Here is a 26,666-nt window from a genome sequence, read left to right as displayed (position 1 = left end):
TTCCCACTTGTGGCAGAATTCTTGCTACCAGTGGAGGAACTCTAAGACATTGTCTGTGCCTTGCCCACCCTCACTCCACTACCTGTTCATAAAATCTTAATGACCACTTATTTCAGGAGCTGTAACTGAGATCCTTTAAGTCAGAAGAACTTTAGTGAACTTGTATGGCTTTGAGAGGTAAAATGAGTAAACATGATGTTACTTTTTGATCCTCAAAACTGAGATGTAAGACTCAGGGAAAATCTGAAAGGAGGGGGACATTCCACAGGTCGAATCTCATTTGATATACATCCAACAGGATGCAGGGCTGGCATCTCCCAAACCAATAAGCCTCTCTTTACTATAAATTGTGAACCCTAGAGTCTACCAATTAACTAGCATCAGTTGTATTCGTTTACCATGTTGTGTAACAAACTACCACCCATCGATAGGCTTAAAACAACACCCATTTATTATCTGCAGTTTCTTTGGGTCAGGGGTCCAGGCATGGCTTAATTGGCAGTGTAACCTTATGAGTTTGAGCAGTTATGCCTGAGGCTGTAATCAAGGTGTTGGCTAGGCTTTGTTCTCATTTGGATCTTGGGATCCTCCTCTAAGCATATGCAGGTTGTTGACAGAATTGAGCTCCTTGTGGTTGTGAGTGAGATCCTCAGCTCCTAAACTCCTCTCAATAGGTGGTTCTCAATACACCTTTTTCAAAGCCAGCAGGAGAGCCTCTTTCCTGCTTTGAGTCTGTTCTTTCAGAGAAGGCTTGAATCCCCCTTCAAAGAACTCACTGGCTGTCCTAGAAAACCCACCCAAGATAGCCTTTTTGATGAACTCAAGGATGATTGGTTAGGGATGTTAATTACATTTGCAAAATTCTACCCCCTTTGCTATATTCTAACTAGTGAGGAGCAAATCATAGGTTCTGCCCTCCTTCACAAAGGAAGGAAATTATACAAAGTGTAGATGCTAGGGGACAGAAATCTCAGAATTCTGCCTACCATACCAGTGGATTTCAAAACAAGCTGTATGTGTTTAAGTTACCTGTGACCCATCAGGAGTTGGGGACAAATGTTAGAAGCTCAATTTATAATGACTATTTATCTTATTCATTTTAATTTGTGTGTGATATATGATAAATATAATCTGTTAAAAGAGTAGAAGATGCATGAAATTTATAAATAAATACATCTCTTGAGAAGTGTGCTTTTTAATTTGTTTCTTGCTGACAGGGAGAACAATAGAAAATTGTGAAGACCACTAGCTGACTTAAACAGATGGTCTGACAAGCGCTGTGTTACATTGTTTTTGAATTTTGAAAGTTAACAGGTCAAATTAGATACATAAAAGGCAACACGGTTGCCATTAGCTATTTCTTTTCTTGCTTTTAGTATGCCTTGTATTTTTTTGTTGGAAGCTGGACATGACATATTGGGCAAAGTAGGCCTTTAGCATTAGTTTTTATGTTAATTTGGGTAGGTTAGCATTGAAGCTGAAAGTGTTGGAGACTTAAAAGTCCTTTAGTGTCCTTGTTTTGTATACCTGTTATCATTGTGCTCCCTCAAGAACTCCTCATCAGATAGAATCTGTGTCTTGGAGCTCCTTCAGCTGTAATTTGCTACTACTATACTGGATCCCTGTTGGTCTGGTGGTAAGGTGTGGGGAAGTAGACATTCTATAAGCTTATGATGAATTATGTCTTTTAGTGGTCCTGTATCCCTGGGCTGTGACCTTTCAAGTGTTTCTTAGCTTCCTTTTTCCCACCTTAGGTGACACAGGAAGGCTAGAGGGGGCTGGAGTAAGAGAAACACCATTGTTCTGGTGGATTCAAATTCTGCTAAAGTTTTTTACTGCAGAAAGCAGGCTTTGGTCATGGAGATGGAAACATAGAGGATATTCTAGAAAATTATGACTGCAATCTAATAAATAAATTAGAGTGTCTTGAACTTGAGTATGGTTATGGAGGTAGTGGAAAGTGGTTAGAAATTTAGGGTGTGTTTTGAAGTCATAGACATCTTATACCTAAGTATTGGGTAGAATAGAAAGAGAGAAATCGAGGATAACTTTGGGGTTTTGGCCTAATAACCTCATGAATGGTGATGCTAGTTACTTAAAGGAAACCAGATTGGGGTGAGAAGCGGGAATAAAAGGACATGTTTTGCAGTATCTATTAGACATTAAATTGAGATGTATAGGCAGTTGGTTAAAAAAATCTTCAGCTTAAGGGAGAGGATGGAACTATATATGTACACACACACACACACACACACACACATACAATGCAAACGTAACATGTTTTTATTTATTTTTGGTAAGTTAAAGCTATGGGATCGCTTACTTCACCTAAGCACGTAGTGTAGAAAGGGATGAGAGAGAGCAGAGGACTGAGTCTGGAGGCATTTCCACATTAACCATCAGGAACAATGATCACATGGCAGTGAGTTATGAGATAACCAAAGGATGCTGCAGAGTCTGGAAGCCAACTGGAGAATGTGTTTTAAGAAGGAACAGTAATAAGTCACACCAAATCTACTGATAAGTAAAATGAAGACTGAGAATTGTCCATCTGATTTGGTATGAAGGGATTGTTGGTGACTTTGTTGGGAATAACTTTATTAGATTGGTGAGAATAGAATTTTTTTGGAGTAGTTTAAAAAGTTAATTGCAAGTAAGAGAGTATAGCCAACAAGTATAGACAAAATTTGGAGTCATTTTTCTATAAAGTGGATCAGAGATATATGCAATAGCAGGTAGAGGGGTACAGGTTGAAGGTAATGTTTTTGTGACAGAACGATTAATTACAGAATGATTGTGTGCTGATGAGAATGATTCAGTAGAGGAGGAAAGAGAGAGAAGACAATTGCAGGAGAAAGATTCTAAGAAGGTGAGAGGTACGGGGCCTGCTACGCAAGAAAATTGTTACTCTGCAAGAGGGGGAAGAGGATAGGAACAGGGCTCATTCCTCCCTTGCAACAGTAGGAAGTCAGAGCATCAGGGTACCTGTGCCAATATTTTAGTTGATTCAGTGGCAGGGTGCTAGGAATATTCTCCTTTTGTCACTAAGAAAAGTGATAAAAAGACTGTCTGAGAAAATTGTTCACATAAATAAGTGGCAGTTATGAGCCAAGATCAAAGAGTAACAGGAACTTGGATGTTTGATAAGAGAGGAGAACTTGTTAAATAGTCTGAGGGTAAGTTAGAGAGTGAATTAACAGAGAGCTATATTAGATTTGCCAGGCAGTATTTAGGGGTTAGGGGTCCAGTGAGCCTTGCCCTGAATTTAAGGTTAGCCAAGTCAGTGGGGTTATGTTTCCTTCCAGTCAGCTGCCCAATTGCAGGGATGAAGTCAGGTGGGATAACAGGGTAACAGGTTGGGGGTTTTGCCAGACAAGCACAGTGGAGAGTTGGTGGGAATTTTGTGGTAAATAATAGAATTGTGGTAGAGGCTCATATCTTCTTTCTGTGCACAAGCTAAACACCACCTCCTAAGGTGTTTGGCTCTAGTTTGGGCCCTTGGGATGTGAGAAAAAGTGACATGTTTCTGGGCCAAGGCAGTTAATAGTTGTGTAACTTTTTGACACCATTTCTATTTGCAGGTTAGAGCGTTTAGGGTGTGTATGTTACAATAGCTAGTGTTACTTTAATACAGGTGTTGAAGTAGTATCCAGTGGGATTATAACATGCATCACTAACATGGTGACCAACTTGTCCCAGGTTGCCCAAGGCTTTAAATTTTTGACACTGAAAGTCTTGCATCCTGGGAAACTCCTCAGCCCCAGGAAAACTGGGATGGTTGATCACCCTAGCCACTGACACTAAATTTAGGAGAAGGGAAGAAAGGACAGGAAAGAGTTGATTGATCATTTAAAATTTGTACAAATAATTGCAGATTTCAGGAAGAAGCAAGAATGGTTCAAATGGGAATGAGGACTAGAGAAAGCAATCAGAAAAGAAGGAATGATCAGAGATTAGAATGCTTGAGGGCACTATTTTTGAGTTAATGCAGTTATTAGCAATGACAAGACCCAGAGCATGGAAGCAGAGAGCTGAGATGCCACAAAAGAAAATATCCTTGGAAGAGAAGATAGAAAAGAAATACAAAACTGAGAAGCCATGGTGTTAAGTGGATGGTGGGGGTGGTATTAATAAATAATTATAACAGAAGAATTAGTGGTGGAGAGAAAGAAGTCCAGGAGCTAAAACCTTCCACAGATGAGAGAAAGAGACTAGAGGGGTAGTATGCAATTATAACAAGGAGGAGTGATGGGAAGTTTAACCTGAGACATACGTCTCAGTGGAACTGAGATTTTATAGAAAGGAAGGAGGATCATTGATCTGAAAATGTCAATAATGGGCAAGGCAGACTCCTACACCACCTCCGGCTCAGTGCTATGAGGGGCATGAGTAGGCAATTAGCCACCTTCTCAGAGGCTAACAGGGAAGCACTGTCTTCAGTTAGGGCAAAAAGAGGTTGAAATTAAAGAGGATTTTGCTGATGTCAAACTATGAGTCCTAGAGCATAGTGGTAGAGTGTAGAAAATGTGGCTAGGTGAGAGACAAAATCAGATTAGGGAACCTGCAACTGTTTTGGGATAAGAGTCAGGTGATGAGAGAAGACTGAAATTGTGGACTTTTTGTGGGAGCTCAGGATAACAGAATGTAAAGAGGGAAGAGTTAATCTTGAGGACCTCTTAGGGGTGGTGGATAAAAGAAGAAAGAATGCTATGGTTGCTCTTACATTCACCTGCAAGCAATAAAGGCTGCAGTGAGGGAGGAGGGAACTTGCCAGTGAATTGAGGAGCTTCATGATCTTCCCTTAAATGATGGGGAAGAGCTAGTTGAGGCTGATGATATGGGGCTTCCTTAAATTTTGCAGTGGGCAGGTCCTAAAATGATCCTTACTACCACAAAGACATTCTGTCCACCCTGGGTGCTCCTCTGTACTTTTCTTCTTCTTCCCTCTCACGTTCTTCCCTATCCCTTCCATTTGGGAGAAAAAAGCCAAACAAACTCCCTTTTTCCTCTGACCATGCTCAGCTTTGGTGTCCCTTTTTTCCAAAGACTTAACCTATGTTTTGAATTCACAGTAGGTAAAGGACTAGCTTAAATGTTTTTTTTGTTGTTGTTGTTGTTTGTTTTGTGTTTTTTGGTAATAGCTTTATTGAGATATAACTTACATCCATATCATTCACTCACTTAAAGTGTACAATTCAATGCTTATATTAGTATATTTACAGCATTTGCAACCATCGCTACAGTCTCTTTTGAGAACACTTAGAACAGGTTACATTTTTTTCCATTTTCTGTCGAGTTGATTAAGTGGATGAAGTCTTTTAGGCATAATTATATATGGTAATTATTACACAATTTATTTTTGTTTGATGTCATTTTAAATCAACATTACATAAAAATATTGTTCAGCTATTATGATTTACAGATGTCATAAACATTATATAGTTTTTGGATATTCCCTTCTCATATCACCCTGGTAAAATATTTTTCAATGGTGACTGGTGTTCATGCTTTCCCTTGCTTGAATAAATTTCACAAGCAAAATGAAGATGTTTGTGTGTTGTGCATAGTATCCTGCTGCTATATTAAGACCTATAGTGCTTTAGTGCAGAAATTACTGCTTAGGTTTTGCTTGGAATAGGATGCTTTGCCTTTATTTTGAGCAAAGTTACAAGTACTTAGAAGGCCAGATTTTCTGTCACTTTTTAGAAAAAGATGAGAATAAAAAAAAAATTCATGTCCTGAGGACAAGAATTTCAGAGTCACTGCCAAGTTTAGTTCTTCAAGTCATAGAAGACTTGGGCCTGGGCATCCTGCAATGGCCGACAGTGAGCAGCCCACCTGAGCCACTGAACCTGCTTCCTTTCACCCTCTTTCCCTTTCCTTGTGATGGAAAGAGCCAATCCTGGTAGCCAGATTCTGGCTCCATCACCCACAAGCTTTGTGATCTTGTATAACCTCACTCTTTGAGACTGCTCACTCAAAAGAAAATGAGAGGCCAGGTGTGGTGGCTCACTCCTGTAATCCCAGCACTTTGGGAGGCTGAGGAGGGTGGATCACTTGAGGCCAGGAGTTCGAGACCAGCTGGCCAACATGGTGAAACCCTGTTTCTAACAAAAATGCAAAACAATAGCCAGGTGTGGTGGTGTATGCCTGTAGTCCCAGCTACTCAGGAGGCTGAGGTAGGAGCATTGCTTGAACCCAGGAGGCAAAGGTGGAGGTTGCAGTGAGATGAGTTCGTACCACTACACTCGTGGGTGGCACAGCAAGATTGCATCTCAAAATGAATAAATAAATAAATAAAAATAAATAAAATAAATAAATAAGAAAATGGGAATAGTAACTAGATGTCTTACGCCAAGATTATAGATACTGTACCTAGAGTACCTGCTTCTCAGACACAACAAGCAATAGATTAGGTCTTCCTTCATTCCATCAGCAAGTCAACATTTAATAAGCAGTTTATACATAAGACAAAACTAGTTAATATTTAAACAAGGTAGATTGTGGTTAATGTGAAGCAACAAGGAACATATTGTATGGTTTTTTTTTTTTAACTTAAGTTTATTTAGGATAAGACAGTTTGTAACTGAAAGTCACAGTTCTTAAAGGAAGTGTAAAACTTGGCTGTATGAATTGGTTCATTTTTCCCAAGGGTCATAATAGTAAGAATTTTTTTGGTAGGATGGAATTGGGAGCATAGGTTTAAAAATAATGAAAGGAAACAGCATCTTTAACAACATAACTATCCGTTTGAAGTGCAATGCATTCTATCATTTAAGTAAAATGCTCTTATTATTTCACATTGAAAGTCACATTTTGTTATGTGGCTTAAGGTTTTGAATGTGTTCATTTGTAACCTGTCGCCAATTTCTATTTCATTCTTTTCCTAATTATTCTGTGAAATTCTTTAGTGAGAACCCGCATCTTACATCTAGAGTTTATGATTCTTTTGGAAAAATTAAGTCTACTAAGTAAGAAATATATCTAATGCAGAAAGACACCAAAGAAATTGACTTGATGTTTTCCAGTTTAATAATCCAAGTCTTAATGCACCTTCCGATGGTAACAGGATGGTTCTTTTAGCAAATTTCTTGCCAATGTCCTTTGATGGCAAATTCAGTGAAGTCTCAAACATGTGTGAAATGGAAAAAACACTTGAAACTAAAGAGCTGAGCCTGATGGGTTTGTTGGCCTCCCTCATGTGAATTCTCAGAGTATATTTGAAGGGGGCCTCTGATCATTAACGGAAATTACAATGGTAGAGGAACCCAAGCCAGGTGAGATATACAGAACTTAGGCAAGCCGTGCTCGTGTGTGTATGCATGTGTGTCTTCTTGCACCTGTCTACCACAGCCAGATGGAGCCTTCTGTGAACAGACTTCTTCAGCCACAGAAAAGTACTGGGGATCTCTCTGGAGTTTGCCCTAGCACTGGTTCCCATTTTTGAACACTTTTGAAATATTAGGGTATTTTTGTCCTGAAAAACACCTGCTACAATTGCATACATGAGTAGTTTTGGGCCCTTTATTGAAGGGTGGATGCAGAAAGTGAATTTGCTTAATTCTGGAGCATAGCATTCAATGCCATTTTTGTTTTCTTTGGCTTTAGGAAGGCCTGAGGAGAGAAGACACATAGTCATGCTGACTAAACCAGATCACCTAGAATTACCAAATGGAAAGATAAGAAAAATCACCCACAAATTTGTAATAATATTTACTCACTTTTCAAAGGTTTCTCCAACTTTTTGAGTCAGGACTAATCATCTTTAAATTAATTTCTTTAAAAAAAGAAGTAGAAAGAGATGATGAAAGAAAAGAGACTAGTTTTTTATTTGAAGGCACAGTGATTATTGCCAGTTGTCAAGGAAACTTTCCTCCTCCTGACCAGTCAATCAGTATCACTTAAGCTTTTGTTCTAACAAAAACGGGTTTCCCTCTATCAAGTACACACCTGATATATGCTTTTTCTTAATGTAAATATTAATAGATGGCCAATTGTTTCCATCATTCAGAGGCCTCCTCTGTTTAAACATTCTCTGCTGAATTTGTTTATTCCACTGTAAAAACCATGGCAACCACAAGGAAAAATGTTTTCCTGTTTTTCAGAGTGTTGGACTATTAGAACACTAGGGATCACTAGAAATAAAAAATACAACTTAGAACAAAGTCTTAACTCCATGTCAGGAAGATGGAGTATGACCAAGCAGCTGTGTAGCAAGTTCCAGGGACCACAGCAGAATAGGCTCTGTTGGCCGGGTGCGGTGGCTCACGCCTGTAATCCCAGCACTTTGGGAGGCCAAGGCGGGCGAATTATGAAGTCAGGAGATCGAGACCATCCTGGCTAACAGGGTGAAACCCCACCTCTACTAAAAATACAAAAAAATTAGCCGGGCGTGGTGGCGGGCGCCTGTAACAATCCCAGCTACTTGGGAGGCTGAGGCAGGAGAATGGCTTGAAGCCGGGAGGCGGAGCTTTCAGTGAGCCGAGCTCGCACCACTGCACTCCAGCCTGGGCAACAGAGCGAGAGCGAGACTCCATCTCAAAAAAAAAAAAAAAAAAAAAAAAAAAAAAAGAATAGACTCTGTTGTCTCTACCCAGCTCTGTCCCTGGATGTGCCCAGTCACATCCCTTTTCTGGGGTTCATTTTGCTGTTCAGTAAAATAGGAAGGCTGGACTAGAGTTTAAAGGGCTTTCTGGTGTTTCAGAAAAAGGTTCTCATGAAGATCTCTATGTAGATTATTGAAAGTAATCTTAGAAAAAACAATGTTAGGCAGCAGATACTTGGTTCTTTGGTCCATCTGGGCTGCTATAGCAAAAGTAACATACCCTGGGTGGCTTATAATCAACAGAAATTTATTTCTTAAGTTGTGGAGGCTGGGAAGTCCAAGATCAAAGTGCCAGCAGATTTGGTGTCTGGTGTTTTCTGGTTCCTAAATGGCAGTCTTTTTGCTGCATACTCACAAGTCAGAAGGGGAAACAGAGCTCTCCAGGGTATCTTTTATAAGGGCACTAATCCCATTCATGAGGGCTCTACCCTCATGACCTAATCACATCCCAAAGGTCTCACCTCCTAATACCGTCACATTGGGGGTCGGGACTTCAACATATGAATTTTGAGGGGACAATATAGTCAGTCCGTGGCACTTGGGCACCATATTGAGAGAGTTCACAGAACAGTGCATGGGTTTTATCTTAAGTACTATCTAGTTGCAAAATGCAGTACTTAGGACATTATAAAACAGAATTGTCGATTTTCCAGATCCATTATGTTTTAGAGAGTTGTCTCCTAACTATTTCCCTTTCTCCTGGAGAGTAGCACAGTTCTTTGGGCTACAAGATGTCTAGGAGAGATACTAATGCTCCCCCATGCTGCCTTTCTCCTCTTTCCTCTTTCCTGCTCCTCAGCACTATGAGCATAGGAGGGCCGTATGTAACACCCCTGGCTTCCTTGGAGAAGCTAGCTAAACAGAAGGAGACATTTTACTCTTGCAGAATTTGGCTTCAGTCCTCTTGTGGGGATTGAAGTAGAATCCAGGCCTATTCATTCAAATAGCATTTTCTGCCTTCATCCTAGCTTCAGCCACCTTTGTCTCTATTTCTATTCTTGCCTGGGGCTCCCTTGAAAGCAAACAAAGGCTGCAAAAATATGTCTAGAAATATTTTCTTAATTATTTTTTTCTAAGGAATATATTTAGGTCATTTTACTATTCTTCTTGGCCTTCAGGGCCATACACACAGACATACACGCACGCGCGCGCACACACACACACACACACACCCACACATATATAGCTTTACCAAGCCACCTATCCCATTTATGTGAAGTGAGATCGGGACTTTGCAAGAACTGAAAGATATGCAAGCTAGTTTACGGCAAAGCCAGACACTACACTGATGGAATCAAAGAGACCCAAGAACTGAAATGTCAAAGCCCTGGGAACACTTTTCATCACACCTCACTTACAGTGTCCATTTCTTCAACTCTAACATAAGCAGATTGTGTTATATGCTCTGTCAGGTTCCACTCAGTTTCCACCTTTTGTTGATTTATCTTAATCAACATTTCTTAAATAATGATAAATCAACTTATCTTAAATAATGATACATCAAGAAAAGCAATATGATTTAAGATATATTTAGTGTGTCTGCTTTTTAAAGGACTGGTATAAATACCTCCGGGATATTTAAAATCCCTGAAGACATTGGCTCAAAGTATTATTATTTTCTCTAATTCACTAAGATTAGGGAACAAAGTGTACTTGTGGTATTTTCGAAACTGACTGGTTGTGAAATCACAGAATGATGGTCAAAACTGTTTTTTGCCCTTACCTGTGCCTCTATTTCTGGCTTCTCAATGATAGAGCATAGTCCCAAGAAACCAAAAGGGAATAAAACAATCCACTTGATGAAAATGACACCATCACTCTGAATGTTCAAGGGTCTTCAATAAAGCTTGTGGCTGAAAACCAAGCCCAAAACTAGGTTTCCTAGTTTTTCCTCTAAATATAAACTTCAGGATCTGACTTGAGACTATTTGGATGTGCAACCTAGAGTCTGTGTGTTACCCACAGGCATGGAGGGGCTCCGGCATGGCTCATGCCCATAGTCTTTGGTAGAATAAAGTAGAAAAGAGTAATGAGTATGAGGCAGAGGGAGAGACTGGGGTGAAGAAGAAAAGAAGTGCCCTTCTTTATGGCATTGGGAGAATGAGGTATGAGAGTCCCCCTATTCTTCAGCTTGGAATTTGCTAGACCTGGACTTGAGTGCCTGTTCCACCATTTAAGAATTAAATAAAGTAATGTGTATTACTGCTTAGCTAAGGAACAGGCATATGGTAAGTTCTCAACACATGATACCTGCTTTTATGATTATTTAGGCAAGGTGTGTCACAGGCCAGGGTTTCTGTAATCTCACTTCCAAATGAGGTGATTCAATATTCACTCATGTCCTTCCTAAATCTAAAACAACTAGATCTCCTGCTGTGTGATAGAATGCCCAAACTTATTTGACCACAGAATATTTTAAAAACTATGAAGTATTAATAGAATCAACAGTCATTCTTGAGGATATATATTTTCGATGAGTAATAAACACTAAAATATGTTGAGACGTGTTGAAAGGATGCATTATGGGACCTGTGATGATCATGTACACAGTGCTTTCAGCAGTTCCTTCTGTCACACAGCAGGGGATCTCAGGCAACTTATTCTTTGGAAAGCACATTATTTCTTATAGTACAATGTCACATAATTATATATGTGTATTTAGGTTCTTGTGCTCTTAAAATATAATTATATATTAGAAGAAAAACTTGCTAGTGTTAATTTTATTTTGTGAAACATCTATTAACAGCATATTCCACAGAAACTAGTTGGCCAAACCTCACATCCTGCTTCAGCTTAAGTGGTGTCTTTTTTTTGTGGTGTGAGTTTTTGACAGAAACTCACAGCAAGAAATTTATTTTACCTTGCAATCTAGTGTACACATACATACAAATATATATAATCGAAATAAAGTACTTCATGGTATAGTATCCTCTTCTAAAGCCAGGCAGTTGATTTTTTATTCTATTCTATTCTATTCTATGCTATGCTATGCTATGCTATGCTATGCTATGCTATGCTATGCTATGCTATGCTATGCTATGCTATGCTATCCTATCCTATCCTATCCTATTCTAATTTTCTATTCTAATCTTATCTAAAGTAATGGTGATCAAAGCCCACTGCAGTGATTTCCAAGCCCAGTGATGGGAAGTGCTCCCAGTTTGAAAAAGACCTAGGGATTAAGCTAGGAAATGCACCAGGTTTGTAGCGCTCCTTTTCCCAGGTGGAGGTACTTCTTACATTACACTTCAAGTGTATTTGAAATGGAACCTTCTCTAACCTCCAAAAAGCCTATGAAGGAGCACATTACCTAGGAAGGGTCATATTGCCTGGGTTGAAGAGAGGCAGCTGCTGACTTCCAAGCTTAGGAGAAGGAAGAATATAAGGGATCTCACAGCTCCCTTGAAGAAAGGTCTAAGGATAGTGGCCAGCAGTTTTGGAGGCCATGCCTATGCTTCTGGGGCCAAGGAGAACTGCTGGGGGCATCCCCTTCAACAAGACTGTATTAGTCTGTTTTCACACTGCTGATAAAGACATACCCGAGACTGGGTAATTTGTAAAGAAAAAGAGGTTTAATGGACTCACAGTTTCACGTGGCTGGAGAGGCCTCACAATCATGGTGGAAGGTAAAACGCATGTCTTACATGGCAGCAGGCAAGAGAGAGAATGAGAATCAAGTGAATGGTGTTTCCCCTTATAAAACCATCAGATCTCTTAGGACATATTTACTACCATGAGAACAGTATGGGGAAAACTGCCCCCATGATTCAATTATCTCCCAATACATCTCTCCCGTAACACATGGGAATTACGGGAGCTACAATTAAAGATGAGATTTGGGTGGGGACACAGCCAAATCATATGAAAGACTCACAGGTCTTTTCACAGGCTGGTTTTTCCCCCACCCAACCTCATCTTATCAACTCCTCCTCTGGCAACCAGACTGCAGCTCTCCTTTGCCCAAACCTTTCCATGTGCTCATGTCTCAGCTTGAAAACCTTCCTCTCTTGGTTCATTTCCCTTTTAATGTCAAAGACCCAATTCCTATTGATGTGTCCTATTTTCCCCAAAACTTTTCTCACCAACCTTAACCCCTATTCCCAAAACGGAAATAAATGTTTCATCTCAACCCATGGCATCCTTTCTTCCTTTCCCCATTGTAACACATCTTCTATTACATTTGAACTGTTTAGTTATTTTTATTTTCCACTAAACTGTACTTTTCTGTAGGGCAGGGACCTGCCTCTTTGTTATTGTTTTATCCACCATTCCTAGCACAGCCCTTGGCCTATTATCCTATCCCAAATATTTGTTGAATAAGTGAAGTCATGAGTAAAACATACTTATTTTATAAATTGCTAACTGTGGGCTTATAGTATGAGCCACGTGCTTTCATGTGTATTATCTCATTCAACCATTATAAACAAAATGGGTGGGAGGGAGGGAAGATATGATTATTTACTGCTTATAGATGAGGAAACTGAGGTTCAGAGGTGTGAGGAGGCTCTATTGAGGTTGCACAGCTGTCTGGTGAAGGGCAAGCAGCGAGGCTTAGGATTCTAAGTACACCACGGTTCACATGCACAGGGGATGCCCATCCAGTCCCATCCCCACTCATGGCTCTTAAAGTCGCAAATGCAAGTCTTGCTGGTTTGTCCTCATTTTTGGAAGTTTCTGTTAAATATGTGAGCAAAAGGCTGAACACAGACATAAAAGCTTGGGTTCAAAACTGGGCCCATTTTATTGATAATGGAAACTGTACTCCCTGAGAAATCGAGAAGACATTGAACAAAGTAGAAGGATTTCAGAAATAGAATTTCTCCTTCGAGTTTGGTTAACCCTGACATCTGATTGCATAGAATTCAAAACAAGAGTTACCTGCAAACATTTAGGAGATGAAGTGTGTTCGTGTTGACACACATCCTGCATCAGAAAAGTTCAGATACATAAAGAGATGCTTTTGTATAATTCATGTTATTTACTGGAGCGATTTTACTGGCCCTTTGAACATCACTGCGCTCACCATTATAAATATGCATTCAGCTCCTTTCCAAACCACTAGTCATTTGCCCAGCGGGCCATAAAAGCAATGTATCATATAACCATGTACTGGGATGAAATTTCAAAAGCTCTCCATTTAGGCAGCAGGACTTAGTGGGTTTGGGGAGCTGTAACATTATCCATTTAATTATACATTTGGACACACTGAAAAAAAACCTGTATTATTTACACAATTGCCTGTAATATTCACTCCAAGCTGTTAGACCTGAGTCAGAAACCATTAGAATGCTAATCGAGAAAAGAGTATGAAATATATTTCCTTGGTGCAACTGCAGCAAGTTTTGTAGACACTTTTATTTCAGCCACGTTTTGCTTCCCCCCAGCTTTTCCATCTGAAGGGGGCCTTCCACAGCTCTTGTGGGGGTGCTAGATTGCTAATTTGGGAACACAGTACAATCTGTCAATATTGGCTCTATTTCTCCAAGACAATACCTCGTATAAGGCGTAGTACCTTATATTTGAGGAGAGACAAATTGTTGGAATGAAAAAGTTATTATGCTCAGGGGAAAAAGTTGCTCAAAGATATCATCCTCCCAGGGATAGACATTGCATTAAATATTATCATTAAGATTAACTACCCGAGAGATGCAGAGAGTGTCTCTTTCTGGATCTCAAGTATTTTCGAGTATGGTACATGCGGAAGAAATCCCAAGTGCCAATATACTTTATGTTTTCAACTTTTATTTGTTGAAAACAAAAAGTCCAGATTTGTTACATGGAACTACTGTGTGATGCTGAGGTTTGGAGTATGGCTCCCATCACCTGAGTAGTGAGTATAGCACATGACAGGTAGGTTATTAACCCGCTCCCACCCTCTAGTAGTCCACAGTGTCTATCATTTCCCTCTTTATGTCCATGTGTGCTCAATGTTTAGCTTCCACTTTTGCCAGCACTTTTGAGCAGCTATACAGTTCCTGGGCTCTATGGGTGCTGACTACACAGGGTTGAATAAGAAATAATTCCCATCTTATAGAAATGCAGCCTTTAGAGGGGAAACACATAGCTAATTAGAAAATAATGCAGATTGATAAATACTCTGATAGAGGAACTGAGACACCAGTGGCACTGCCCATACTCTAGGTCTTTAGATGAAGCTCTGCTGCCCCAGAATCTGTGCAGGACCACACAGATCAGCTTCTGTTCTCCCTTGCTTGCACTCCAGCAAATTGGCACCTTGGGTTTATACTCCAGATGTGGCATATTGTTACTTCCCTGTATCAGACTTCAGTCTTCCCCTAACTCTTCTTTCCCTCGGAGTATTCAGCTTTGTCTTGTCTGTACTTCCCCTGAGGAGGATTCCATACCTTAAGCTTGTGAGGGCTTGTGGCTACAGAAACATATCCACAAACACATATAATCTAGTATCATGTGAGTCCAGAGAACTCAGACTACTTGCACTTTGATTTTACTTGATCTCGTCTAAGCAATAATGGTTTCGAATGGCTTTGAGTGGCCAGGCGTTTGCATAATAGGCAGTTCCTTTGTTTTGGATTTTGTCACTACTCATTGCTTTAAACTGTTACATAATGAAATCGGTATTTTCCATATTTTCTTGATGAGAAACAGTTCCACTGACATGTGACATTTAGGTAGCCTGATTCATCAAACACAATATTCTTTTGTGATTATCCTTGGAATGAATGTAAAAGGAGAACTAGACCATGGACAAAATAACATCAGAAACCCTTCTTCCCACCTTTACTGCTACTTGGATTGTCACGGTGCTGAGAGACACAGCAATACAATTCTCAGCAAAATGCACGGAATTTGGAAGAATGGCAGATGTTGACTTGTGATGTGTTACAAAAAGATAATAAGATTTTGGTAGAACCTACTACACATTTTATTCAGTTTAACATTAATGAAGGGAAATTTGCTATTTCATATTAAATGTAGCCCTTGAGGAAATCTGGGTCAATCATGGATCTGTCCTTCATGGAAACTTCTTTAACTTAAGTGGTTTCTTGCCAACACTAAAATTTGCTTTTATGGAGATTTTAATCAATCAATCGAATCAAGTCAATCAATGGACCATTAAATGGATTCTACCTTCTTACTATTAAATTGATCCTACCATTCCAAAACTGTGTGATACTATGGGAATAATTAAAGAACTTTGCTAAGTGGCTCATGCCTGCAATCCCAGCACTTTGGGGGGCCAAGGAGGGAGGATCACCTGAGGTCAGGAGTTCGAGTCTAGCCTGGCCAACATGGTGAAGCCCTGTCTCTACTTAAAATACAAAAATTAGCCAGGTATGGTGGCACAGGCCTGTAATCCCAGCTACTCAGAAGGCTGAGGTAGGAGAATTGCTTAAACCCAGGAGGTGAAGGTTGCAGTGAGCTGAGATTGTGCCTATGCACTCCAGCCTGGGCAACAGAGTGAAACACATCTCAAAAAAAAAAAAAAAAAAGAACTTTGCTGACTGTTTTCTCCTCTATAACATAGGAATAGTAACGACCACCTTGCAAAGTAGAATCGAGGGGGTGAGTTCAGTAAAGTTACAAATCTAGTTCTCGTATATAGCGGATATGAAAATATGACACTTATAATTATGCTTCACTCATCAGTCCTAGGTTCACAAAATTCCATTGTTAACTATAGGAGATAGTTTTGCTATCCAACATTTTTCTCTTAACTCTGTGCCAAAGGAAGGAAGGAAGGAAATAAAAAAGCAGGGAGAGAGAAAGAGAAAGGAGGAAGGTGTTAGACAACAATAAGAAGAGACTGTATTTCAGCGTGTGAAAAGTCACATCTCTTTGCATAGAAATCTGTTCTGCCTTTCTTTGGGGCTCAGCTCACAGGCCAGGCTGGCTATGCTGTGGGGATCGGAACCCCAGTATTTACTGGAGCAACCCTCACTCCAGCAGGCAGCTGCTCCAGTTCAGGAATTTTATGACAGGAAATATAAAGTGCTGGATCTGGGTGCTTTAGAGTCCTGGGTAGAATTATTTATTCTTAAAAAAAAAAAAAAGACTGACAATCAGCTAAGGACTATTAAGCTTCATGGCCTTGATCTTATCATATTGTGTCTACTCTTACCAGTTCTTAATCACTACAATGTAATAACACTTTTAAAATTTATTGGGACAATTAGAAGCAAACAGTTCTTTTGACCCTCAGTTCTTTCAAAGGCACATGAGGCTACAAAAGTAAGTAGTGTCTTGAGACTGAAGTGCTTTTCAAGGTGTTTGCAGTTTAATGTTCATTATAGATCCCAATGTGCCATAAGGAAAAGAGAGCTGGATTGTAGGAGCAAGAAACTAGAATTCTGGTCTCAGCTTTCCCATTCATTTCTGAGGTGATCCTGAGGCTGCAGTGTGGCTCCCTCAGCTTTAATATGGTCATGTGTAAAATGGGAATGAATCTGAAGTCCCTTCTATCTCTAAAGTCCTTTGTTTAGAAAGAAAGGAAATAACTCTATTGGGTTATTGAAAAAAATGCTTTTCCCGAGGTCATTGCCTGCTCTGTTAATCTTATCCTTCACAGGACACTGTTGTGTCTACAGCACCAGCTGGATGAGCAGTTGAACATGTGAATTCTCTCGTTCGCACCAAGCCACAGCTGACTGGACACCAAGGCTAAGCATCTGATTGAAAAGCGGTCCATAGATTAGGAGGCTGTGACTGGCATGACCTGAGACTAACCGAGGGACCAAGGCAATGAGAATCCTCAATAGGGAGTCCATGATTAGTAAAATAATAGTCAGGGTTGACCCACTTGGAAGCTGAACCCAGAGGCCCCTAGGTCGAGTCAGGACTGGGACAGAGAGTGTGGTCCCCAGATAAGCTGAAGTTATGACAGGGCTGGCTGGTTGCGAGGGTCTAACAGACAGGCAGAAGTCAATAGAGATGTTATAATTGGGATTTTCTGAGATATTTGAGACTCACATATACATACATACACACACATACACACACACACACACAGAGAGAGAGAGAGAGAGAGAGAGAGAGACAGAGAGAGACAGAGAGGCTTCAGGGCCTAATTCTAGCCCATTTAATATAGCTTCTCTTTAGAAAAGGCTTTGCTTGTTGTATATGGAGGATATAGAGGAGCTATATGGAGAACAAAGAGGAGCACAAGTTTAGGAGTACAGGTTCTAAAATTATTCCGCCTGAAATTAGATTCCACCTGTGTGACCTTGGGTAAGTTATTTAGCCTTTCTGGGCCTCAGTTTTCCTACAAGTATAATGAAGCTATAGTAGACAATATCATGTCCTGAGGGATTGTAGACAGAGTTTTAGCATAATCCCTGGCACATAATAATTGCTTGATAATTTTATAGCCATTATTATGACAGTGTTGTTTTATTCATTATATTTATATGCATCCCTACAATGAACCTCCTTTTCCTGAGGTGACATGAATAGGTTTCCCTTCTTTGCAATTAGCAAAGTCTTCACTAAAATGATTCCCCATTCTTCCAGTGCATGGTCTTCCTCTCCCTCTCCTTCATTCTCTCCCCACTTCACCCCCTCTCTCTTACCTAGAACATCTTTTCCTCTTTAGTCAAAAGAAATGATCCTTACACTTCAGAGCTCATCTCTATCCCTCCTTCTCCACAAGGCCTTCACTGGTTACTATATTCTGATTTTTGTCTCTTCTGAATTCCATCTGCATCTATATAAGACTTTGTATAGCCATATCCAAGACAGTGATTCCAACTACCATAGCACCTAATTGTGTCCTATTTTGAATTGTGCTATTCTTGATATTTCAGATTTGAATCCTTTTTTTCCCAACAAAACATAAGGTTTTTGATGGTAAGAGCTATGATTTGCATTTATTTATTTCCCAAAGCATTTAACATAACACTAGGAACTACCAAAGAAATTTAACAAATTTATATCATTGGCTAAATCTGTGTAAACCATGCAGCCTTCCTCCACAAAGTAGTTCTGCCATTCCATTTATCACCTTTGGCTGGCCTGTCCAGCAATTGTACAATATTTATTTAATAGTGGAAGACATAAAAGTAAACAAGTTTAAAGAGGCTCAGTGCATTTGGGTCTTCTGATATATCTGTAGCTAATAAACTGTTTGACCTTGGGTAAATCATGTCTACTTTCTGAACTTCAATTTTAACATGTGCTAATTGAAGCTGATAAATGTTTTGACCTCTACTGTTTCTGCCAAATTGATCTAATAGCCACTAAAGATTATGGATGATTTCCTAGAACTCACTCTTTTGCAAAACTCTTTAATAGAGTTTATTGGTGCTTGGAGCTGTAGTGTTTTCCCAGAGGCAATGGTGGTCAAGAGAGAGGTCTTTAGAGTCACACAGACTTGGGTTTGAATTTTAGCTATGCCTTCCTACCAGCTGATCTTTAGCAAGTCATTAACCTCTCTGATCCTAAGGAATAAAACCTATCTGAGACTATTAGTATGAGGATCAGAGGTGGTATATGTTAAGTATAAGCACTCATAGTATGGTGGTCAAGGTCATAGCTGGTACTATAACCCAGATTTATTTCTCAAACCCATGACTAAATACCAGCTGTCCCTCAGGGAACATTGCGTGGATTGTGTTGAGGAAGTTTTCTCTTTTTAGCTGGTTGCATTGGTGAAGGGCAGATATAGCTTCTCTTTAGAAAAGGCTTTGCTTGTTGTACATGGAGAGTAGGGAATACTGGGTACATGGCAGCATGGGGAGGGGGAAACTCAGGCAGAGTCTAGACACAGGCAGATGGAAAGACATCATCAGGAGCCTAAGTCTTTGCATATAGCCTTTATTGAATGAAAGCCCTCCATTGTGGTCACCATCAAAAGCCTCAGAGAGGACTCTCATAGGGTCCTTCGTCTTCTGGAGGTCAGTTTATACAAATAAATGAGCTAAGAACAACCTTTGATCTTGAGTAGATTTTCCAACTCTATAAGCCTCTATTTCCCCATAAACAGAATGAGAATGGTAATGATACCTGCCTTGTTAGAGCTTAAGTAATATAATGCATGTGGCTTATAGGAAAACGTTAAGAAATGTGATCCTTTATTATTATCATTATTCATGTAACATGAAAGCTATAGATGAAGAGGGATGTCTAACCACCCAGTGGAGTCACAGGTGCAAAGCTGGCTAGATGAGCTTGGGGCCAAATGCTTTTGAAAAGGCATCCCAGGCAGGGTAAAGCCATGCAAAGGTTTGGAGGGATGGAGTAGCATAGTGTGTTGAGGGATCTCTAAGTATTTCAAATGCTGGGGCTCAGGATATGTGTGCAAGTCATGGAGGAAGAAAAGACAGAAAAAAGTGTGGCAGAATCAGATCCATGGCTTTGGTTGTCAAATCTTTCAAGTCGCGCCTACAACTTGGAAATGCCTCCTGGCATTTCAACTTCTCGAGCTGCCCCTGATGTTCCATGTTCTATGGGCCACTAAAGCACTCTGAGACTCAGTCTGCCCAACAGTAACATGCTCTGCTGCTTCATGGGTTTGTTGCCCCAGAACTCAATGATAAGAGGATCTGCTGATTGTAGGTGCTATGGAAGTACATATATCCTTAATTAAATGTTGCTCATGACACCAAATATAATATTAACAACAAACCTGCATCTCACCATGTAGATATTTCAAATGATATAATAGGTATAGATATTTGAAATGGTAGTAATCATGATATTTATAATAGCAATAATCTTTTAAGCATTTACAATATGCCACAGAAATTAATACTTTACATATTTGGTCCCACTTAATCAACTTTATGAGATAAATATTAATATTATTTTAATATTATTTTTATTTTATAGATGAGATCATTGAGCCTTAGAATGGTTAAGAAAACTGCCTACAGTTACAAAATTCATAAATAATGCATTTGGGGTTTGAATCTGGGTCAACGTGAGTGTTTTAGTTTGGAAATGTTAAGGAAGCAATAAAATTGGGGAACCTGGATGTTAGGAAAGAATGTACAGAAACTATGAAAAAATACATACAGAAATAATGTCAGGGTAGCACATTCAGACAAACAGGTATTTGTAAAATCACTGATTTTTAGTAACTGCTAGCTTGAATAACTTCCCTCATGTATATTTTTCTCTGAACCATCACCCCTTCATATCCTTCATATTGGCTTTAGAATATACCCGTAGAAATAAGGAAAGAAAGAGAGTTCTACTATACTCACAACAACCATTTAAGATAGATACATAATTCCTATGTTGCCTAGGAGAAAACTGAGACCTAGAATAGGAACTTCTCAGGGTCGACACTTGGCCAGCGGCTGAACTAGCATCTGTATCGTGACTCCAGCACTCTCCACTGCAGTGTACTGCTTCCTTATTCCAGCACTTTGGGAAGCCGAGGAGGGCGGGTCATGAGGTCGAGATCGTGACCATCCTGGCCAACATGGTGAAACCCTGTCTCTACTGAAAATACAAACATTAGCTGGGCGTGGTGGCATGCATCTGTAGTCCCAGCTACTCGGGAGGCTGAGGCAGGAGAATATCTTGAGCCTGGGAGGCGGAGGTTGCAGTGAGCCGAGATCGCGCCACTGCACTCCAGCCTGGCGACAGAGTGAGACTCCGTCTCAATAAAAACAAAACAAAACAAAAAGCCGTCATTCTCACAAATGGCCCCATTCTCATGGCCAAGCACCTCTGTTGCTCCAGTTCCCAAATTTTCCTTTGAAAGTAATACTGTCTCTGTTATACTGAAAGCTGATACCACCTTTGTCAAATGGGGGAATTCAATTCATTACTAATGCTTAAATCTCGATTCAGGTATGCTCAGTTACCAACCCGGGCGCTGAAGTGAGACACCTATAATCATCTCTTTATTGTTTGTTCATTTTATGGGGCCCTATCCTCCCTCCTTCCCCTCCCTGTTGCCATCAGGAATTCACATTGTGGGGGCTCCTTTGCGGCAGCGCGGGCAAGCATCTCAATTTGCAAACATCTGGCTGGTTTCAATCAATGAGGCTCTAAACACACTGCTCCTGGGGCTACAGTGGTAGTTGTAGGGATCGCTGAATTCAGGATGCAGAGCCGGTAATAAGCAATCAGGCAGCCTCTGAATTCCTTTGTTCATGAAAACCTAGATCTATGCAACCAAGGCTGGGGTGGACAGAGGGAAAAATGAAAACACAGCCTAACCCAGCTAACAGCATCAACAGAGAGCTTAGTAAAGGAGGAAAAGTCTGTTACTTTTCTCATAACCAAAATTCTGGTTAGTGACTGTAGAGAACAGAATCCAGAGATTTGCAGAGGAATCAAAGTAAGTATTAAATGTCCAAAGCAGGGGAAACATGTCTGTTCTTAAAGAAAGGGTAATAATAAGTTCTTTTATTTGAGAAGTGCCTTATAGTTAATAAAATGTTACCACACATGTGGGAAGACAAAAAGAGCAGAGATCTTCTAGCCAAACTATTGGGTTCAAATCCAGCTTTTCTCAATTATAAGCTGAGTAAACTTGGGCAAATCACTTAACCTGTTGGCATCTCATTTTCCTGGGGATGATAAATCCTTACTATTAAGATTTTTGTGCAGATTACATAAAATATGTAAAGTGCTTGGAGCATACCTGTTACATAGTAAATGCTACGTTAATGTGTGCTACTATCATTTCATTTGTTCTATACAAAAGTTCTGCCAAGAAGATAGAGTAGATATTATCTGCATTGGTAAGGTGGAAAATGTAAGCCCAAAGTGGTTAAGAAGTTTATCTAAGATCATGCTATACTAGCAATAAGTTGTAGAGCTATGGTTCAAACTCAGCTTTGGCACTTCTCTTTATTCATTCATTCATTCATTCATTCATTCATTCATCAATTTTTTCCCCTTCATTCAATGTGATTTCTTTCTACGTGCCAGCCCCACTGTTAGGCACAGAGAGATTAGCCTTGACATAGATGTTTCATAAAAGATGTCAGAGGGTAATGATTATTCCAAAATATCCAACTAAAATATTGGCTTAGGGAAAGCTGGAAGTGAGTTTGGTGATGGAGATAGGGGGAAATTGTCAATTAACATTAGGCTTTCCAGGAAGTTACTAAGCTAGGTGTTCTCAAACGTTCTCACACTGGAAGTCATGAAGTCTTACTGTTCTCTGGGAAACATCATAAAATACTGACCTGTTCAATTAATGAATGGGACACTATCAAATTCATATTGTACATGAGGAATCTAGAGGTTAAAATTTCAGGCTCAGGAGTTGAACTCTTTGAATTTAAAATCCATCCCATCTCTTACTGGCTGTGTGACTTTGAGTATTAATTAACCTCTCTTAATCTCTGTTTATAGCTCTGTTAAACGAGAATAACAGATTCCCACCGAGGGTTAAATGAGATAATGCGGAACTTCCCAATCCATTTTTATGAGAATACCTATTAACACTCTGTAGATAGCTTGAAAGACACCAGTATGGGAAATGACCCCATTGCCCAGTCATAGGTAAAAACAATGTGGTGTTCATAAATCTTTGAAACCTGTTACTGTATATACTAAAACCTTTTATCTAATGAATCTTTTCCACTAGCGATTATTGATTGCTTATTATTTGCTGTTCTAGGCACTGCAGCAAGTGATTAAGATGGAGAAGGCCCACCCTCTACTAGAACTTATATCTTAGTGGAGGGACAGATAGTAAACATACACAATAATTTAAAACAATAATACATTCAATGAAGGCTTGAAAATAATGCTGACATGACTACTACTACTGCTACTACTACAGCTACAATACTAATAACAGTGGTAATTATTGCCAACAAGAGTGACCTAACTATATAAGAGGCAGCAGTGTGGTCCATATCCATTCACTTAACTCAAGTCGGACTTTTTTTTCATGGAGCACCTATGAACATTTCTCAGACTAGTTTTCCGTGAATTATGGTTTGGAAAGCATTGCTATTCATTTCAAGCCAACAGTTTTCAAGTGCAGCTTTTGGCATGCCTGCCCCTGATATTTACAGGGCCAAGGACAAGAGTACAAATAGGGGCCCCCATATTGTATGTCCAAATATTTAAGCATTACAAATTAGGCAAATAAACCTAAATTAAATCTATCTTCTTACTTTGACAAATATAATGTTGTAACAATCTGAAAGGTCAAGTTTGGATTTAGAATTCTCAGACTCTTGGCTTTGTGTCCTGGAAGGTGGTGGCATGGGGGGTAATTGGCCCTTGAGAGCCACTCTTCTGTTTCCATCCAGCTGTCCCATGCCATGAGGATTTGCATGAAAGAGAGGACCCCAGTTCACCCCCACAACAGCTGTCCTTTGGACACCCTGTGGTTTGGGTCTCGGGAAGTATGGACCAGGAATTCCAGCATTCTAGGTACCCAGCAAACAAAGAAACAAAGTTCAGATATAAAGACCTAGTTACCTGTAAAGTCACTTCAAATCCTGACATGACAGAATTCAGTTTCTAATGCTGGGATTTGAACGATCTGAAACCTGGAAAATATTGATATTTTGCTCTGCACGTAAAAGATGTTTTGTCTAGAAAGAAGTGCGTCTCGTGGGAAATTCTAAACAATGGCATAGGAAAACAGAAATGGCAAGAATTATAGACGTGTCTTGATGATAATATTATTAATTAATCACATAAGGCTTTAGAATCCAAACAAATGTCGAATCCAGAGCAGGTAAGAGTAACGAAGTTCAGAATTATGAGCAAAACATCTCTCTTCTTTGGGTTTTGGTTTCCCATCTGAAAATTGCAAATTAGTCTTCCAGAGATTTTTCTCTCCAATAAAAAGCAGGGATATTTACTAAGGGGAAAGGTATGAACAATGTGTTGTTTAGCAGGAGCAATAATTACCTCTTATGTTCCAGTCCTTTACAGTTGAGGCAAAGGTTTTTGAATGTATTATCTAGTTGAATTTCCATCACCAGCGGGCGATGCTGGTGTTCTTTTCTCCATTTGCCATTGGAGAAACTGCAGCGAAGAGAAGATAAGTGAATACCCACATTCTTTCAACCTCTGAGTGACAGAGCCAGGTCTCAATACCCATATCACAGCCTTGAATTTTAATGTGGGTGTGCAGGTTTGAAAACACATTGCATTTGGGAAAGATGGTCTTGCAGGTGTGAAATCCATTTTTTTTTTTTTTTCTGAAGGAAGAGGCAGATAAAAAACAGCAAGAAGAAGCACGTCTCTTATGACTCATTAGTCAACTTAAGGAGGACTTTTATTGCAGATGGGGAAGCATTATTGCAGCTGCTACCAGCCTGACACACATGGATGCACATGCCCTCGTGGCAGCATTGTCTCCCTTTGCCCCAGACACCCAGACTCTGGAATGATGCAGCCAGCGGGACATTTTCCCTGCACAGATGTTGTAAAATGCATAAAAGTACAGAGTGTGTCTCTGAACCCTGCTTCTGTTTCCACCCCCTGAACAGATTGTGCCTGCAGCCTGGCCTGTTGCCCACAGCGGTCTACCTGCCACACTGGGAAAGATCGAGCAGAGACAGAGAAGAAAAGGAGGCTCCATTTTTCAGGCTGCTCTCCCGCAGGCTCATGTTTTGTGTTCATGCCAGGCAGAGAACACAAAATGTTCCAATAAATAAGTATCAAAGGTTAGTGGTGAAAATGAAGGAGGAGGAGGCATTGCGTGAAAAACTAAACATGCAAAATATTACACACAAAGAGAACCAAAATGCAGGTTCACTGGAAATGATAGACAATATGTTAAAACAAGAGGAGAGAAGAGAGCTGAAATAATCAAATGGAAACACACAATTTAGGGCTAAGATCTTGTTGTGTTCAGCCACAAATGATGGCCAGCAGTGAGGAATCTGTGTGTTCTCCACACTCTTCGCTCCTGGGAAGTCAACTCACATGGACCATGATATCAATATCTGCTCCTTCCCCTAATATCTGTTTGACCTTGGGTCAGTTACTTAAACTTCCTAAGCCTTAGTTTCTTTGTCTGGAAAATAGGGATAGTTATACCTACCACACAACCACTTTGTAATGAATATGTTGGAAATTATATGCAAATTGGCTTCCGTTGGTGTTTGGAACATAGTAGGTTTTTAACTGGAATATAATAGCTACCATTATCAGTATCATCATATTAATTTATATTTCCATCTTCAGCCCTTAACCCAGGATCTTCAGTAAATGTTGAATTCTCAAATTTGTTAAATTCACTTGTCTATACTAATATTTTACTCTAGGTTTCTTAGAATATTCTAGATAATATTATTATGTAGAATATGTTATGTAAGCTTCATCTTATCTGTAAATATAGTTTTACTTTTTCCTTTCTAATTTTTATGTCGATTACTTCTTTTTCTTGGCTTATTGAATTGGCTAGGATTCCCGTACAGTGTTGAATACGTGCAGCAAGACTGCACATCTTGCCTTGTTCCTGGTCCCACAGAGAGAATATCCAGTACTTCACAATAAGTATGTGTTAATTGTAGATTTTATTAGATTGAGGAAGTTCCCTTTCCTTTCAAGTCAGTCTTTTTATTTTAAACATGTATTGAAGTTTTGTCAAATGTCTTCATCTATTGGAATAATTATACATATCTCTTTTTTATTCTGTTAATATTACATTTCAATCTTCTGTCTACCTAAAATCCCTAGAATAATCTCCATTTGGCTATGATGTGTTGTGCTTTTATATATTACTGAATTCTATATGCCAATATTATTAAAATTTTCTGTCTTTATGAGAAATATTTGAATGTATATTTTTTCATGTATTTGTTTTGATTTTATTTTCAATGCCATTTTGTAAAAGAGCATTAAAGTGTTAGTATGAAAGTACTTACTCACCCTCTATTTCATGAATATGTTTTTATAAGACTATCATTATTCCTTCCTTAAATGGTTTATAGAATGTGCTTCTTTGGAGTTTTATTTGCATGAATTTTTTTTTTTTTTTTTTTTTTTTTTTTTTGAGATGGAGTCTCGCTCTGTTACCTGGACTGGAGTGCAGTGGTGCTGTCTTGGCTCACTGCAACCTCCACCTCCTGGGTTCAAGCGATTCTCCCATCTCAGACTTTCAGCCTCCCAAGTAGCTGGGATTACAGGTGTGTGCCACCACACC

At 39.6% G+C, this 26,666-nt stretch overlaps 1 long non-coding RNA gene across 4 annotated transcripts in view, besides 1 other annotated feature; it reads left to right on the top strand.

Moving 5' to 3' along the window:
* CCDC26 (CCDC26 long non-coding RNA) overlaps positions 1-26,292 on the top strand; it is a 328,546-nt gene extending 302,254 nt beyond the window's left edge. For all 4 annotated transcript variants that reach the window (NR_130917.1, NR_130918.1, NR_130919.1 and 1 more), the window contains 2 exons: positions 7,609-7,679; positions 25,006-26,292. This is a non-coding gene — a long non-coding RNA (CCDC26 long non-coding RNA). The remainder of the gene's footprint in view (positions 1-7,608; positions 7,680-25,005) is intronic.
* Positions 7,306-7,475: an enhancer, noted in NCBI's record as "active region_27965". NCBI's record gives its function as "activates an Ori minimal core promoter by ATAC-STARR-seq in GM12878 lymphoblastoid cells {active_cell/tissue: GM12878}" and the evidence as "EXISTENCE:reporter gene assay evidence [ECO:0000049][PMID:35858748]".
* Positions 26,293-26,666: the final 374 nt, after the last annotated feature.

Source organism: Homo sapiens, chromosome 8 (assembly GCF_000001405.40).
Source record: "Homo sapiens chromosome 8, GRCh38.p14 Primary Assembly".
Classification (NCBI taxonomy): domain Eukaryota; kingdom Metazoa; phylum Chordata; class Mammalia; order Primates; family Hominidae; genus Homo; species Homo sapiens.
This window is presented reverse-complemented; position numbering and strand designations above follow the sequence as displayed.